At 44.4% G+C, this 18,432-nt stretch overlaps 1 protein-coding gene across 8 annotated transcripts, besides 1 other annotated feature; it reads left to right on the forward strand.

The window, feature by feature from the left end:
• Positions 513-1,013: an enhancer, noted in NCBI's record as "H3K4me1 hESC enhancer chr20:23471218-23471718 (GRCh37/hg19 assembly coordinates)". NCBI's record gives its function as "activates a minimal SCP1, AML or CMV promoter by ChIP-STARR-seq in naive H9 embryonic stem cells {active_cell/tissue: H9 hESC(naive)}" and the evidence as "EXISTENCE:reporter gene assay evidence [ECO:0000049][PMID:30033119]".
• On the forward strand, positions 1,049-17,056 carry CST8 (cystatin 8). 8 transcript variants are annotated; one of them, XM_047439816.1, is made up of 6 exons: positions 1,049-1,341; positions 1,457-1,830; positions 2,890-3,003; positions 5,763-5,911; positions 13,616-13,984; positions 16,707-17,056. In XM_047439816.1, the coding sequence occupies exons 2-4, from the start codon at positions 1,600-1,602 to the stop codon at positions 5,844-5,846; spliced, it is 429 nt and encodes a 142-aa protein (XP_047295772.1). In that variant the 5' UTR covers positions 1,049-1,341; positions 1,457-1,599; the 3' UTR covers positions 5,847-5,911; positions 13,616-13,984; positions 16,707-17,056. The 8 variants fall into 8 exon arrangements, with proteins under 8 accessions (XP_047295772.1, XP_047295771.1, XP_047295773.1 ...); XM_047439815.1 differs by having other exon boundaries at positions 1,049-1,274; XM_047439817.1 differs by having other exon boundaries at positions 1,049-1,115.
• Positions 17,057-18,432: the final 1,376 nt, after the last annotated feature.

The raw sequence follows: 18,432 nt of genomic DNA on the forward strand, positions 1-18,432 counted from the left end.
ATTATATATATATTAATTATATATATAATATATATATAAATTATATATATATTAATTATATATATAATATATATATAAATTATATATATATTAATTATATATAATATATATATAAATTATATATATATTAATTATATATAATATATATATAAATTATATATATATTAATTATATATATAATATATATATAAATTATATATATATTAATTATATATATATAAAATATATATAATTTATATATATAAAATATATATAATTTATATATATAAATTATATATAAAATATATATAATTTATATATATAAATTATATATAAAATATATATAATTTATATATAAAAATTATATATAAATTATATATATAAAATATATATATAAATTGTATATATATAAAATATACATATAAATTATATATATATAAAATATACATAAATTATATATATAAATAATATGTATATAAAAGGGAGTTTATTAAGTATTAACTTACATGATCACAAGGGCCCACAACAGGCTGTCTGCCAAACTGAGGAGCAAGGGGAGCCAGTCTGAGAGTCCCAAAACTGAAGAACTTGGAGTCTGATGTTCGAGGGCAGGAGGCATCTAGCATGGGAGACAGATGTAGACTAGGAGGCTAGGACCATCTCTCCTTTTCACGTTTTTCTGCCTGCTTTATATTCGCTGGCAGCTGATTAGATTGTGCCCACCAGATTAAAGGTGGATCTGCCTTCCCCAGCCCACTGACTCAAATGTTAATCTCTTTTGGAAACACCCTCACAGACACACCCAGGATCAATACTTGGTGTCCTTCGATCAAATCAAGTTGACACTCAGTATTAACCATTGCAGGCCCCTGACTCTGAGGGCACAGCAGGAGGCATTTGCTTGCTCTCTGTGCCCCTGTGAGAGCTGTTTAGACCAAAGGCCGGAGGCTGGCAAGTGGGAGATGTCCTCACTGGGACAAGACACAGGTGCTGAATTACATCACAAAGCGTAACCTCCCTGCAGGGCGTGGACTCAGAGGGGCAAGAGAGACCGCAGACCAGGACCCACAGAGACCCTTGACTGGGCCACAGGCATGAACTAAGAGTGCTGAAGACCTAGGAGAACCACTGGTCAGGTCAGCTCCCAGCTCCACAGGGAGTAAGAAGGAGCTGCAGGCACAGCAGGCTGAAAGTCCACCAAGGGCTGAGGCCACAAGGCCTCTGGGGCAGCCACAGTTTTCATGATCACATCATACAGGACTGAGAAGCAGATAACAAGAGTGACGCTCACAGGGGTAGGCATAGACACACTGGGGCCGAAGGGGAGAGGAACTCTCCCTAGACACACAGATTGCTCTCAGGGTAAGGAGGGGAGGCTGGTAGAGAGACTCCTTAACTGGCATTCCTGGGTGGGTTTCCATGGAGAAAGAGAGGACAAACCCCAAAGAGTGACCCTAATGGCCTGTCTTGAATCCAGCTGGGCTGACGCTAACAGGAGGCAGTGTGTGGCTCGAAGATTCTTGAACCCACAGCAGCAGCTGCGGCCACCCCATCCTGCCCACAGCTCCAGCCCTGAGACGACGAGGAGGAGAGTCGACTTTGCCTCTTGCCCAAGGGACCATGCCCAGGTGCCGGTGGCTCTCCCTGATCCTCCTCACCATTCCCCTGGCCCTGGTGGCCAGGAAAGACCCAAAAAAGAATGAGACAGGGGTGCTGAGGAAATTAAAACCCGTCAATGCCTCAAATGCCAACGTGAAGCAGTGTCTGTGGTTTGCCATGCAAGAATACAACAAAGAGAGCGAGGACAAGTATGTCTTCCTGGTGGTCAAGACACTGCAAGCCCAGCTTCAGGTAAAGGTGTCTTTCCATATAGGTGGACATTTGCATATGGTGGCACAGTTGAAGCCAGACTGAAAGAGTGGGCATATAAGAAAAATATCACTATGCAAAAATCCTAAATATGTGAATGCTTAAGAGCCTAGACACTTCCACAGCATCAATAAGGCAGTGAACACACAGAGCACTTTCTACAAACGCTTGCGCTTTTGTTCTAAGTCCTTCGCATAGATTAACTCATTTAAACCCCAAACTGCAAATCAAATGTTCATGTATTTGCTAAGGTTGGGAGACAGATAGAATGCTAGCCATGAGAAAAGATCTGATAAAGGTGAGTCCAGGTGAACCTGGACCCAACTAGCAGACACTCCTTCATCTCCTGCTGTAATCCTTTAATGCCAGATGAAAACAGATTTAAATGGACATCACAAGTAGCCTTGATTGCATTCAGTCACTAATGAGTTCAACAAATACTAATGTCCTGCTATAAACCTACTGCTGTTCTACTCACTAAAGACTCAGCAGAGAACAAGACAGGCAAACTCATGCCTGCATGGGTCCTCATGGACTGTGTGCTGAGCTGGTGGGAGGGGCTTTGGGTGGGGAAACCCCAGAGGATGGGAGGTTTCACAGGAATCTGAGGGACTGGGGCCTAATGTGGCTGAGGGGGCTGTCCCCTGGTCAGGCCTGTGTGAACCTGAGCATCTCAGGCCCAGGAGAGCTGATGGTTCTGAAGAGCCCACCTTTCACCTCTCAGTCCTCACTGAGCATGCAGCATGCCCTGGGCTTGGGGACAGGAAATGGAATGAGAAGGCCTTGCTTTCAAGGAGGTGACAAACTGGAGAGGAGTCTTTACTCAAGTGTCCAGCTCCAGGAGCCTATGGAGTCCTGACTGATCTTGTTGTACACAGGGCTCCAGGCAGTGGGCATCTTAGCCTTCCGCTAAAGCTCTGTCTGGGGGTGAGGGAGGAAGGAAAGAGGAAAGGACGAGAGTAAGAGTAATTTTTTTTTTTTGTCAAAACTTTAAAAAAGTACAACTCTTTTGAATAAAATTGCATAATTGCTAACCAACAGGTCACAAATCTTCTGGAATACCTTATTGATGTAGAAATTGCCCGCAGCGATTGCAGAAAGCCTTTAAGCACTAATGAAATCTGCGCCATTCAAGAAAACTCCAAGCTGAAAAGGGTAGGTGATGAACCACTCATCTGTGACGGCCTAGGCAGCTCTGAACCCAAGAGAGAAAGCTGAGGCACGCAGACCTTCTCTTTGAGGTCTGGGTGGCTCCCAGTGTTTAGCCCCAGATAGCCAACCCTGTGGCCTTTATAGCAGAAGATCCAGGGCCACGGAACGTGGTGGAACCCTCTGAGCTTCTTTCTCATCCTTCATCCTGCAGAAAGGATGTTGTCAAGACCACTCTTATCTCAAGGGCTCCATTGACTTCTGGCCTTTTGATGCAGGCACACTGGACAACACATAATCACCAAAAGCCTGTCCTCTTGGGTCCAGACAAGCCACCCACTATTGCTGGGCCCATGGTCACTCATCCCCATACAGACACAAAAGGAACTTCATTCATTCACTCATCCACTCATAGAAAATTACTGAGCACCAGGTGCTACGTGCTTTGCACCAGGTCTATTCTGGGTGCTGGAGATTAAGCAATGACTAAGCCAGAGGGTGGCCCCACCCTCCTGGGTTTACAGTTGATTTTTGCTGGGGTCAGTCCAGGTTTCCAGGAAGGTTGGGGCAAACCCACAGACTCCCAACAAAAGGAGGACTTGGCCCAGGGGCTTTTGGCTTCAAGCCTGTATTTTTTATCTCAGAGCAGCTCATAGGCCAGTACTTGGTCCCAGACAGATGAAGGCCTGAGCATTCTGCAGGTTTGCCCAACAGGTGCATCACTGTCCCTGTCTTTACATTGGTGGTTCTCCAATGTGAGCAGGCATCACAATCACTTGGAGGTATTGACAAACCCTGATGACCGGGTTCCACCGGCAGAGTTTCCAATTCAGGAAATGGGATCTAAGAATTTGCATTCTTAATGAGTTCCTGAGTGGTGCTACTGCTGCTGCTGCTGCTGGCCTTAGGATCATTTTGAGAACCACTGCTTTATGCACTGCCATGGCACAGGAAATTGCAGGTACATTTATGAACTGCCCTGCCATTATGTTTGATGAAAACTGCCTCTGTATGCTCAAATGAAACAAACCCTATCATTTCCAGCTCACAATAAATGACCCGTCAGGACAAACATTTCAGCAGTGAGCTTGTCCGAATGCTATCTGATCTTTTATGCTTGTTTTATCTTTTACTGGTATTAGGAATATGGTTGCTTTAAATTTATATTTTCTCCCGGGCTTTTAGGGATTGTAGAAAAGTTTTTGCTTTTGGCAGTTTGTAGAAAATATTAAAGTGCATTAAAGAAAATTGTTCTCAAGGAGCCCACTTGTGTCTAAGATTTCCATGATACGTCTCAGTTTTTAAGACATACATGTTCAAGCAGACATTTGTCAATAATAAAAACTTTCTCTTTTTCCAAGCAGATGCATTTGGTTTCCCAAATTTGATGTAATTTGCCTGTAAAGTCATCTTGATCCAGTACTTTTTATTGCATATTTTCAATACTCAGCAGGGACTAAACTTTCTTCTTTCTGACTTTGTCTGCCTCTTAACTCCTGGAAGTGCCCCAGTGATTTCAGTCTATTTGAGATGGCCCTTGCGGTTTGTCCAGGACCACTATCTCTCTGCCTACCCATCTATCTACCCATCCATCCATCCATTCATTAATCTGTCACATACACATAGGATATTTTGTTTGTCATTTCAATGATATTTTGAAAGAAAAGCAGAGTTCTTTGGAAGAAAAGATATGTTAGGCCCTAGAATTTTCTAAATTGCTCTTGACTTGTTATTAGAACAAAAGGGATTTTAAAAAGTTTATTGTAGATTCAGGGGTACACATACAGGCTTGTTATATGTAAATTCGTGTCACAGGGGTTTGGTGTACAGATTATTTCATCACACAGGTAGTAAGCACAGTACCCGATATGGTATTTTTTTCTGATCCTCTCTCTCCCCCGCCCTCCATTCTCCAGGAGGCCCCAGTGTCTGTTGTTCCCTCTTTGTGTCTATGTGTTCTCATTGTTTAGCTCTCACTTATAAGTGAGAACATGTGGTATTTGGTTTTCTGTTTCTGCATTAGTTTGCTTAGGATAATGGTCTGCAGCTCCATTCATATTACTGCAAAGGACATTATCTCATGTTTTATGGCTGTGTAGAATTCCATGGTGTACATGTACCACATTGTTTTTTTAATCTAGTCCACCATTGACAGGCATTTAGGCTGACTTGATGTCTTTGCTACTGTGAATGGTGCTGCAGTGAACATACATGTGCATGTGTCTTCGTGGTAGAACAATTTATATTCCTTTGGGTGGGATTCCTGGGTTGAATGGTAATTCTGTTTTTAGTTCTTTGAGGAATCACCTCACTGCTTTTCACAATGGGTGCACTAATTTGCACTCCCACCAGCAGTGTGTAAGCATTCCCTTTTGTCCACAACCTTGCCAATATTAAAATGGATTATTTAATCAATAAAATAACATACTTTAATTAACAATTAGAATCATTTTATTTACATTGTATTAAAGGGAATTAAACATAATGTCAAGTTTATATCTGAACTTGCACCACAATGTTATGATTATTAACATTTCTTGTCTTCCTGTGGTTAAAATAGAACAGAGATCCCTCTGGGAAACTGCTGATGGCTATGAAGTCTGCAGCCTCTAGCTCTGCAGATTCCTGGGAGCTCGCTCGAGAGTGGTGACCCATCTGTCAGCACACACCTAAACTGACACCTAGCAACAGGACAATTGTTTTTCTTTTCTTTTTTTTTTTTTTTTTGGCACTCTACTAATTTTTGTTGTTGTCATCTTTTTCAGAAATTAAGCTGCAGCTTTTTGGTAGGAGCACTTCCCTGGAATGGTGAATTCACTGTGATGGAGAAAAAGTGTGAAGATGCTTAATGGTGTTTTGAGGCATCCCTCCAACCTCTGTGACTACTTTATCCATGAAAATGAAGCAATGGCAGGTGGGAGGCTCTTCCCAATGTGCTTTCTTCATGCATGCCTCTCTGCTTGGTGTTTTGTTTTTTAGTTGCATATATGTGGGGACAGAAGATGGGCATGTCCAGGTCCTCTTTGCTGGCACCGAACACAGCCACGCACCTTTGTTCAGCTTGATGGTCTACCCATCACCAAGTACAAAGGTTAGGGTGAGGTCTGATTCCATTCCCTACAGCAAATCAGAGTATTGGGGTAAATTCAGCCAGATATCAGGTGAAATTCACCCCCCATATTTCACATAGGTTCTTTTCTATTTTCCCTAAGTGTCAGCCAGTCTGAGAAATAAAGGGACAGAGTATAAAGGGAAAAATTTTAAAGCTGGGTGTCCGGGGGAGACATCACATGTCGGCAGGTTCCATGATGCCCCCTGAGCCTTAAAACCAGCAAGAGTTTATTAGTGATTTTCAAAAGGGGAGGGAGTGTACAAATAGGGTGGGGGTCACAGAGATCACATGCTTCACAAGGTAATAAGATATCACAAGGCAAATGGAGGCAGGGCAAGATCACAGGACTACAGGACTGGCGAGAAATTAAAATTGCTAATGAAGTTTCAGGCACGCATTGTCATTGATAACATCTTATCAGGAGACAGGGTTTGAGAGCAGACAACTGGTCTGACCAAACTTTATTAGGTGGGAATTTCCTCGTCCTAATAAGCCTGGGAGCACTACGGGAAACTGGGGCTTATTTCATCCCTACAGCTTCAACCATAAAAGATGGCCGCCCCCCAAAGCGGCCATTTTAGAGGCCTACCCTCAGGGATGCATTCTCTTTCTCAGGGATGTTCCTTGCTGAGAAAAAGAATTCAGTGATATTTCTCCCATTTCCTTTTGAAAGAAGAGAAATATGTCTCTGTTCTGCCCAGCTCACAGGTGGTCAGAGTTTAAGGTTATCTCTCTTGTTCCCTGAACATTGCTGTTATCCTGTTCTTTTTTCAAGGTGCCCAGATTTCATATTGTTCAAACACACATGCTCTACAGACAATTTGTGCAGTTAACGCAATCATCACAGGGTCCTGAGGCAACATACATCCTCCTCAGCTTACGAAAATGACAGGATTAAGAGATTAAAGTAAAGACAGGCATAGGAAATCACAAGAGTATTGACTGGGGAAGTGATAAGTGTCCATGAAATCTTCACAATTTATGTTCAGAGATTGCAGTAAAGACAGGCATAAGAAATTATAACAGTATTAATTTGGGGAACTAATAAAAGTCCATGAAATCTTCACAATTTATGTTCTTCTGCCATGGCTTCAGCCGGTCCCTCTGTTCGGGGTTCCTGACTTCCTGCAACACAGAGGAGGAATGAATCCCTTTGGCTTGGGTAAAAATCCCTTACAGAGGTCTGAACCCACTGGGTGCTAACTCAGCAGGTTCCATCTGGATGCTTCCTTTGGCCTGAGGCTCTTCCTGTCTAAGAGTCCTGAATGGACAGGTCATTTGGTCTGGGGGACCCCTGTGACAGAACTAGTAGCCCTCCCCTGTGGGATCTCTATAAATTGGGGGATTTGTGTTTCTTCCTATATGTATTAGTCTGTTCTCACACTGCTGATAGACATACCTGATACTGGGTAATTTACAAAGATTAGAGGTTTAATTGACTCACAGTTTCACATGGTTGAGGAGGCCTCACAATCACGGCAGAAGGTGAATAAGGAGCAAAGTCATGTCTTACATGGTGGCAGGCAGAGAGCTTGTGCAGGGGAACTCCCATTTATAAAACCATCAGATCTTGTGAGACTTATTCACTACCACAGAAACAGTATGGGGGAAACCACCCCATGATTCAGTTATCTCCAGCTATCCCTAACCTTGTCATGTGGGGATTATTACAATTCAAAGTGAGATTTCAAACCATATCACTGTGTATGTAAACAATGGTCACAAAGAGAGAGGGGTGGTGGCAATAAATCTTGAAGGATAAGCTGTGTTAGATTGAGTGTATCTGTTCATGGGTGTACATGTGTGTGCATGTGTGTGTGTGTGTGTATTTGTGTGTGCATGTATGTGTGTGTGTAGAGAGAGAGAGGGAAGAGGGAGAGAGGGAAAGGGGACTTGGAGAAGGAAGTAGCCAAACAAGGAGAAGAGCAGGAGACAAAATTCTCTTGAAGAAAGTAACTATTAAACAGATGTGTCTAATAGAGAATTATTTAATGGGTGGAGTTTCTGCAAAATGAAAAGCTCTGGAGGTTGGATGCATGACAATGTAAATAGACAACACTGCTGAACTACACACTCAAAAATAGTTCAGATGGTACATTTTGTATGTATTTTGCCATAATTAAAAATTTTAAAAATAGATGTATCTATTTTAAACATAGTGTTGGTTATGACTCAAGAGGCTAATTGTATCTCCAATGTCCATTAGGAGAAGCCAGGTTTTATCTCCCATGGCTTGCTTGGTAGGTGGTAGGGATTTCAGTATTTCTGCCCCCAACAGGATGAGGCCATGAAACTCCAAGGCCTCAAACTACTTTTTCCTCTGGTTCCTCTGACTTAGCCAATGCGTGTTTCAGGAGTTGGAGACTGTCGCCCTGCCTTCAGGCAGCAGAGACAAGTGGAACTTGCCTTGGAAAGCCTCTGCTGTTCCTAGCTGTCTCCTCTCCCTCTTCAGCCCCTGCCTGTGGTCTCTGTCTGTGTGCCACTCCCGTTATGCCCACCCTGCTTCCTCTGCTGAGGCCCCACTCTGCTTCCTTGTTTCCCTTCTCAAATCCCCAACTAACAAAGGAACCAGGATTGGAATGTGATGTATCTTTTATTACTTGAGATTAATACATGTATCCTGATTGAAAGTGCTTCTTTCCTATGTGCTTGGAAGACTCCATAAGAAATTGCCCTCCCGTCCCTCTACCCCAGACACAGGAAGTCATGAGCCATGAGGAACAGCAGGCTAGAGAAGACCACAGCCCTGCCTTCCAGGGGCTCCCAGTGGCTGCATGGACTTATAGCTCTATGTGTCTTTTCTGGTTTTCTGGGATATGAGTGTCTTAAGAAAGACAGCATTTTTGGAACATCTTGAATTGTCTTTCCTGATAGATAGGTGAGAGGCAGCCTCAAGGACTCAGATGTCGGGAGAAGACAAGGATCAGCAGTGTGTGACCAGCTTGGATGCAATACAGTGGGGATGATGCCCACCTGTGCTGTGTACAGATCTGCTTCCTGTACAGGCCTAGAGACACATCACATATATGTGTTTCTATGCACAGGTCTATTTCTAAGTGCATTTCTATTTATATTAAAATTTTATTTAATTTAATGTTATCTCTTTTCAACCTGCCTGTCTTAATCTCTTCCTTTCATTTTCCCTCTAAACACAGCCAAACTGAAATAAAATGCAAAACAAGCTTCATTTCTCCTATCCAGCATTTAATGTCTTTTTGCTAAGATATTACAGGAGAACACACAACACACGTGCATTCACATGGACTCACTCTACACCACCTTTCCCTGCCTTTTCCAGAAATGAGCCCACTGTCACAGGGCCTGCTGCGTTCTCTTAAAGGTCATGGGGAGCTCTGAATGCCCAGTGCTGTCTGGGCCTGAAATGCAGGAGCACTGGGAACACAGGAGACCATGGAGCTGGAGGGGAAGGGGCAGAACCAGGCAATTCATGTGGTCTTGGATGCTGCCAGGCTCAGGATTCACAGGGGGGTCCTTGCCCTCTACCTTGCTGTCCTCCTTGCAGGGATGCATGGCCTGTCCACCTGGCGACCAGTCATGGCCATGCTGTGAGTGAGAACAAGCAGGAATTCAGCTGAGGACAATCTTGGGCAGGGCAGTGGGGACCTTGCTGGTTGGTGGGGAGTGAGGTCTGTCTCAGTCTGTTTGTGTTGCGATAAAAGTCTGTTTGTGTTATCTGAGGTGGCTAATTTATAAAGAAGAAGTTTATTTGGCTCACAGTTCTGTAAGCGGTAGCAGCAGCATAGTGCTTCTTGTGCAGGAGAGAGAGAGACAGTGTGAGAAAGAGAGAGAAAGGGGAAGGGTAGGAGGGAGAGAGAGAGAGAGAAACAGAGAGGACAGAGAGGAGAAAGGGAGAATAGAGACACAGAGAGGAGAGGCGGGGAGGGAGGTGCCAGGCACATTTTAACACTCAATCTTACGGTGGGAAACTCTCTCATTACCTCGAGGAAGACACCAAGCCATTCATGAGGGATCTACCCAAGCACCTCCCACCAGGCCCCACCACCAACTCTAGGGATTAAATTTCAACATGAGACTTGGAAGGGACAAACATCCAAACTATATCAAGATGCAAGGTGTTGACCCTGCTGGGACCAGGGGTGGGCTGCCTGCGGACCACAGGGACAGCAGCAGCATAGAGCTCAGAGCCACAGACTTGGGAAGGAGCCCGGTGTGCTCTGGTCTCAGAGGACGTGAGTGCTGTCCCAGCTTAGCCGGTTTCTACCTGTAGGGCCTTCACCACCTAACTTAATCCCATCTGCTCACACATGACCTGGGAGAGTGTCAGGACTGCCTGCCCCCCAGGGGCCTGGTGGAATGGGAGGCAAGAGGGGTGGGCCTGGGAGTAATGTCCCATGTGCGTCCTAGGAGGGGCCCTCCTTCTCCTACGTGGTTGGTACACTTAGACCATTAGATGCATTTGTAAAATCTGCAAAAATGTCAGGGACAGACAGTCATCAAAACCTGGGGGCGGACGGTGCCCCTGAGAGTGTGGGGGTGAAAATGGCAGCCAATCAGTGCCCTCCGCTGATTCTTTCTGGACCTCTGTGTGGTGGGGTGGCTGGGTGGGGGGGTGCAGGTGAAGGGTGAACAGGGGGTGGGCTCTGGGGGACTCACTTGTGCCTCAGCGAAGGGGACTGTTTTACTCCCACCCCCAGGCCATGTTACTTCCTTCTTGCTCTCTTCTGTAACTCCGTCTAGAAAAAAAATTGCTTGAAATTTGGAAAAAGGCAGAGGGAGATCAGCAGAGCTTCCACCACCATTTTGGAACGTTACTTAACAGGCCTACTGCGGGTGATGGAGTTATCTAGGGAATGTGCCTCTGTTTGACTCGGTCTTTGTTATTGATTTAAGGCCAGATTCTAAATTTACTGTTAACTTGTGGAGCTTTTTGTCCAAGGGAGATGCCAGTGATTTCTGTGCAGCAGAAAAGATCTCCCCAGATGCTGTGGATTTTCTGCTCTTTAGGAACTGAACCAGTTATGTAACTGACCTGGGATTTCCCCTCATGCCCAATAACTACGACTCCTCCAGTTCTCCTTCAGATAGTATCGCCCATTGCTGGTTTTCTCTTTACAGAGTTGAGGGAATCAGATGCTCCTTCTGTGTTTGTAAGTAGTCTAGGTTTATAACTTTCTGAAAATTACCCTATTGCAGTCTCCATGTGAATCCCCCAAAGTTCCCCACAGTCCAGGGCATCAGGTTTGTCCGATGGATTCAGGGCCTGCTGCCTTCCCTCCCTCCCTCTGCCCCATCCCGTGTCGGGTCCCCGCAGGGAGACTGAGGCACGCCTCCTCAGACACCTACCGCTCGCTATGGAGGGGACAGAGTGAAGGGTGTGAGTGATACACAGAAAAATACCCAATGGCTAAGAGATGTCTTTGATGGACATGCACCTTGGCCCCTTGTGTAGGGGCTTGGCAACTGCAGGGCCACCTAGGAGTCAGCTGTGGTCCAGAGAAGGCGACACTGCGAATGTACTATTTGGATCCTGCCCAGGGAAGAGAGCAAGTGCTCAGACGCTGATGATGGCCACCCATTACCAGATAGGAACATTTTTGGTCGTGAACTTATGATGCCTGAAGACAATAAAATGAACATCATGTCCCTGGAGCAATTATTGTTCCTTTTTTCTGGTTCCAAACTCCTTCAGATTCCTTGTTTTTAATAACACACCTGCATCCTCAAATACAGAGACATTCTGAGTGAGCTGCTGGGGGCACCTTCTGTGTGGACACGCCGGCTTTCTGCTTTGCTAACCGTATTCCTGGAGGCTTTGTCACCTACACCATGCTGTAGCTTGACCACCCAGGTGAAGCTGATAAAACTCCAAATCTGACAGTTCAAGACTCAGTGACTGAGCCCTGTTCCAGAAGCAAGGTGACAGAACCTCAGGGCATGGAGGTAAAAGCCACACCTGCTTGTGGAATTTTGCCTTGACTTCCGTTGTGGATGAAACTAGCTCCACTGGTGTAGCCACAGAAGCCACCTAAAAGCCAGCACTTACTGAAATGTCCAGGAAACCAGTCCAGGGTGGAGAGCCCATGAGACCAAATAGTTTGGAAATCACTTCTGCAAATATCATTGCTTTAATTTTGTTTTAAAACAAAATTAAAGAAAGGGGAAAGCATGGTGGGGGTATGTGCTAGTGTGAGACAAAGTAGCAATGGTGAGAAGCCTGTGTGCTCTTGCCTGCTTGCAGCGGAATCTCACAATGCCCCTGACTCTGCAACAACATGCAGCTCTCCAGAAAGACGCTTTGAAGACAAAAGAAGATAGAGTGCCGCACGGCCCCCACGTCTCTGGCCTGAGCCACTATGTTCCTTAAAAGATAAACCATCCTAGTCCCTGCTTCCTGCTGCACATAAGATGATGCCTGCTGGGGTCAGTGATGATGCTTCTGTCATCTATAACCAGGTGGATTCTTACACCCAAACCTTCACGTGATTCTGCTTTACTGTAACTTCCGAGCAAGTGTGATGTGATTTTGCACATACTGAACCTCCACACTTCATATATAAACTGTTGGCTGAAGCCCTATTTCAGAATTGTCTGATGGAACTTCTCTAGGGGACTGCTCCCGGGCTGTAGACCTCCATTTACGGTCTTCAGTAAGACTCCGGAATAAAAAATAATTTTAATTCTTGAAAAACTTGATATTTTTCTTTAGTCGACCCTAGAAAACAGTTAGGTATCACTACTGTGCTTTTTCTCATGATGGAGAATTTACCAATCTAGGGGTTGGCTCCTACTAAAAAAAGAACAAATTGCTTTCTAAAAAAGAAAAATGATTAATTACCTTTTTTTTAAAGGAGCAATCATGGAAGAAGAAAAACCAGTTTCCCACGGCAGGTGTCTAACAGGCTGTGTTAGGCAGATACTGATTGATACGTTGAAAAAAATACCAGGGTAAATGAACAGTTAATAAACTTTAGCAGTAAGTGATAGTAGAATGGAAACATCAGGTAGCATGCACAAATGCATGAGAGGGAAATCCAAAGGAATGAAAATTTACCCAAGCTAAAACCAGGAAATAAGACACAATAATACAGACAATAAATGTGGGTGGATTTTATAAACTAATAGACTAGAGAGTCTTAGACTTTATTAGAGTATAAAACTCACAGGATGCTCATAAAAGCCACTTTGACCACAAACTAATCCTGACATGTTGAAAATTTGCTCAGGATGAAAATACACTGAACAGCTGCTAATTAAAGAAAGTAGGGGAGAAAATATTAATATGAGGCGTCATGGAATTTAGGCAAAGAGCGTTAGGTGGGGTAAAGAATTATGTCTCAACAAAACATACTCTAAGACACCAAGAAAATACAAATAAAATGGCCCTAAAAGACACACAAGCCAATGTCAGATTATAAAAATGAGAAAACCACAAATAGAGCTAAAGACTGAGAAATCTTTCAGAAGTACAAAAACATTAAAGCTACAAATGAGTTGGATAAAGTAATGAAGTCATTATTTTCCTAGGTACGTGCAAATGAAGATGTGGCTCCCACCCACGGGACTGGAGGAAATCAACAAGGGCGGAAGTACAGGAGAGACAGAGATGTCTGAGGACTGCGCCCCGCCACTCTCAGGTGAGAGGCGGCAGGCAAGAGCCCTGAGGCCACAGAGACGTGCTGTCCTCGAAGGGAGGGAGTGCCCACCTGTGCCAGTCATGGCGGGCGGGTCAAGGAGGATGCACGCTCAGAGCCGACCACGGGTTCAACCTTCCCACGTCATTGCTCACCCTGGTGAGAGCATGGAACAGACTGGAGTAGGTTCCAGAGAGTGCAGGAAGAGGGGAATTGGAGACCATGAGGACAGACACTTCTTTTGAAAGATTTTGCTGTAAAGGTGAGGAAAAAAAGAAACTTTTAATCTGAGGAATGTGAGTCCCCTTTAATTATCAAGCCCAGAGGGGCATTGAAATGTGACAGCAGACACAGCAGCAATGTGTCCCTCCTGCCTTGAACTAAATAATGACCTCCTGAAGCCACCGGCTATGTGAACTCTAGACTAATGGATGCCAAGTAGCTACAGGGTGCCATGTGCCGGACACCATTATCCATACCCTATATAGTTCAACAGTGTAGAGCCAATCACCACCCAGAGTTCTTTCTGTGAACCAATGAGAACTCCTGGCAAACACCTTTGTATCCGCCCACTCCTTGTCCCCTTTTGCCTTTAAAAGCCTGCTTGTAGCAAAAGCTGAACAGGAGCACTCCTCCCCAAGGCAATGTGGAAGTGTGTCCTGGGCTGCTGTCCTTCACCTTGGCCCAAATAAACTCTCTATATTAATTTTGCCTCAGTCTCTTTCTTTAGGTCGCCAAAGAGGACCAGAGAAATTCTGGAGAATTTGGAAAGTAACAGGCTAAAGTAACTTTATTTATAGATATAAATGTTTACCTTGAAAATGTAAAATTGAAATTCTTTACTATTTAATGCATATATAGAAAATATATGATAAAAATAACATTTATAATACTACAACAACAACAAGCATAGAACACACCCAATGACAAGCTTTACAATGACTTCAAGGAGGGAAAACTGAACTTTTATTGATGGAACAAAAGATCTGGCAAAATGGAGAGACAGATAATATTCCTGACAGGAAGATTTAACATTAAATATGTCACAAGTACTAGTTTCCCCAAAGCTGGGGAGGTCAGGAGTTTGGGGTGCTCACCATGGCTGCTCATAGGAGGGCAAATGGAACCTGCAATCAGGAGGTATTCTGGAGCTGGAGGACTTCCCCGTGCTCAGACCACACATGGCTACTTTGAGAATTGCCCTGTGACTACCTTTTCTTGATTGGGGTTCCTTGAATTTTGAATTTGAAGCTCTTTTGCAATTGTTACAGGCAATCTCCATGTCTAAGATGACCGTAACGCACCCCTAGATAAATAGCTCTGGTAGATCCCACAGGCAAGAAGCATTCTTTTTTTTTTTTTTTTTTTTTTTGAGATGGAGTCTTGCTTTGTCACCCAGGCTGGAGTGCAGTGGTGCAATCTCAGCTCACTGCAACCTCCGCCTCCCAGGTTTAAGCGATTTTCCTGCCTCAGCCTCCCGAGTAGCTGGGACTACGGGTGCCCGCCACCATGGCCGGCTAACTTTTTGTATTTTTAGTAAAGACGGGGTTTCACTGTGTCAGCCAGGATGGTCTGGATCTCCTGACCTCATGATCTGCCCACCTCGGCCTCCCAAAGTGCTGGGGTTACAGGCGTGAGCCACCGCGCCCAGCCACAAGAAGCATTCTTGACTGAGTCTTCTAAATGGACAAAGATATATGGAACAACTGCTAATTTTAGAAAGTAGGAGAGGAAAAAAAAAAATCACACCCCAGCCAAGGGCTGCTTTTATCTTGCAAACCCAACCCACTATTGAAGAATGAGAAAGAGTGGGGTTGAGCATGGGGCCACACATGGTCTGATTTGCCCCGATTCTGGCTCATTCCCTGAGGAACGCCCTTACTGAGGTGGATCCAGTGGAAAATGAGATGTCCTCCATTAGACTTGCTGCACAGATGTGGGCCATGGATCAGCAGCATCAGTGGCACTGGGAGCTTGCTAGCAATGCTGAATCTCGTGCCCATCCTGGACGCACTGACTCGAAATCTGCATTTTAATGAGATCCCAGGTGGTTTGTGTGCACATTAAAGCTTGAGAAGAACTGCCCTCAAGTCTTAAAAATTTCTGCTGAATGTCAATGGTAAACCACCTAATTCTGTACATTAACATGCAGGACAATTGATATGTTAAGAATATTTAATACATTAAAGTATTTAAATCTCCTAGTTTTTTTTTTTTTTACAAAGATCCTGTATACCATTTTGCTCCTAAATAGCTTCCAAATGGTTTTTAGTTGTTGCTGTAAGTAGAAATTTTCCCCAGTTGCTGGTAGTTTGTACTGGAGAATGTTGTGAATCTGACTACATTATAACATTTTGCCACTTTTCTTACTTGCTGGAATAATTTAAGTGAAATACTCATTAAGTCCTTTGATGGCAAATCAAGGGGCTTAGGGCTCACTGGGAAACAAGACGGACACACCGGGAAACACAGCATGCCTATGCGAGGACACCAACACAGACATGGTGAGGGTGGGTGCTGTGGGGGTCCTAGACTCCTCCTTCAGGTGCAGGCTTGCCTGTAGGTGTGTGGACAGTGACCGAGGTCCACAGCTTCGCTTTCTTTTGGGACCTACCAGTTTTATAGAAAAGCATGGTTTGAAGAAGTCCCATTCCCCATTCCTGAAGCTTATGAGGATTCCATGGTTATAGGATTTTAGAACTTTCTATACCCCATGTTCTGAATTTCAAGACACCTCCTCCTTTTGTCTATGCATATTCTTCAGAAATCCCTGATATTCTGCACTAAAACAGCATCTTGGTATCACACAGATTTTTTTTTTCTGTAAGACAACACATAATAGTGTAGCAAAAAATAAAAAAATAAAAGATAATTTACAAATCCTACATGCTAAAGTTCTGACTACCTATCATATATAGCCAGGGAAATGGTCCCTTCATAACTCCTGAGTCTTACCTCTGGCTTTTCTTTCCTTTCTCTTTTAGTGCCATCAACACAGGGTCCCAAGAGTTCTCAGCCACATCAGCTCCAAGAAGAACTTGTTTCATTGAGGATTTAGGGGAACTGTCTCATTGGCGAAGAGAAGTTCTCCTCCCCCTGCCCCGATGTGACTCGTTAAGGTTTGGGGTGCCCTGGCTCTTGGAGCTTTCATCTATGGTCTAAACCTTGAACACCATAAACATTAGGTTGGCAGTTCTTGGAGCTTGGGTAACTGCATGCACATGCCTTGTTCACACATGTCCCAGTATTTTTACTTACTCTGTTGAGGGAGTTTATTCTTTCCTTTGAATACATTTCACTCCCACCTGTAATAAACTCCCAATTGGTCTTTCTACTTTTGTATCTTTAGGTGAATTAAAAATTTCATTTTTAGTAGATGTTTCATATTTGTGCTACATCCTTCTGAACTCCAGAATCATATGTAGGCATACGTGTATATGTGTGTAAATATATATTTAGAGTATATATATATATTTAATACATATCTATAATAAATTCTATATTCATTTCCACTCTGGTGTTAGGCTTCATTGTTCTCACTGACAGGCAGCTCTGGGTCCTGGGAGTCTGCCATTGTTGGACTCCATTAACAGGCTCCCTAGCCCTTCCACTGATGGCTGCATTTGGCTAATTTTGGGGAATGGGAGCATGCGGAAATATGAGCGCAGCTGGAGCCAGTGTTGGGATATTTCTTACTGGTTGCTGGAACCCACTTAACAGCAGCTGCATTCTTCCGCCAGGGGCCAGCGCTCCTGCTGGGCAGTCCCTCCCCGCCACCTACAGCAACCCCTAGTGCGTGTGGCAGGCAGAGCAATGCTTCCAGAGATGTGTACATCCTGAGCCCTGAAATCTGTGGATATATTATGCAAGCTGGTAAGGGGAAGTTCAGGTTGCAGAGGGAGTTAAGGGTGCTAATAGGCTGACCTTAAAATAGGAAGATTATCTGGATTATCCAGATAAGCCCAAATTCCTTAAAAGATGGTAGAATGGTAGGGGAGTCAGAGCTGAAGTGATTCAATATGAGAAGAACTCCACTCACTGCAGGCTTGAAAGACAGAAGGCCATGAGGCAAGGACTGTGGGCAGCCTCTAGGAGCCAGGAAAGGCAAGGAAATGGGTTCTTTCCTAGAGCGTCTGGAAGAATGCAGCACCCCCCCCCCCCACCCCCACACTGTCCAGAGCCCAGTGAGCCCGTCCTGACTCTGACTTTCAGAGCTGTAGGATCACAAACTTGTGCTGTCAGCTGCCAAGGCGGTGGTATTTGTTCAGCAGCCGTGGGAAACTAACACACTGGGCTTGGCCACCACTGCATCCTTCACCCGTGGGGTCTAGGGATGGTGCACGTGCCCCTTTCACTGACTGTGGGTCCTTTACCCTCCGTTGTTGGTTTTCCTTTGCAAATATCCCTCTGTTCCCTCTCCTCAGATACCCTGTGGAATTTGTCTCCAATTTCCTGGCAGGACTGGGGATGAGATGGGAAACTAAGGGGGGAAGGGTCAAAACGACCTCATCCGCCTCCAGCATCCTCTAGCTCAGTCAGTGCCCACTGTATAATTATTGTCACAAAACCACAGCCAGATAATTCTTTTTTTTTTGTCATAATCAAAGGGCCATAAAATAGATTTAAAGCAAAACTCACACTATCTCTGTCATTACTTGGTGCATTTTTCTCACCCTCAAAATTAGCTGTTTTTTTCTTCATAGACCAAAG

Source organism: Homo sapiens, chromosome 20 (genome assembly GCF_000001405.40).
Source record: "Homo sapiens chromosome 20, GRCh38.p14 Primary Assembly".
Taxonomy (NCBI): Eukaryota; Metazoa; Chordata; class Mammalia; order Primates; family Hominidae; genus Homo; species Homo sapiens.

What these genes read in the sequence shown, in the direction of transcription:
- CST8 (XM_047439816.1), top strand. Translation starts at nt 1,600, where the DNA reads ATGCCCAGGTGCCGGTGGCTCTCCCTGATCCTCCTCACCATTCCCCTG. An exon ending in CACTGCAAGCCCAGCTTCAG is followed by an intron (nt 1,831 to 2,889) that starts GTAAAGGTGTCT and finishes GCTAACCAACAG; the next exon opens with GTCACAAATCTTCTGGAATA. An exon ending in AAAACTCCAAGCTGAAAAGG is followed by an intron (nt 3,004 to 5,762) that starts GTAGGTGATGAA and finishes CATCTTTTTCAG; the next exon opens with AAATTAAGCTGCAGCTTTTT.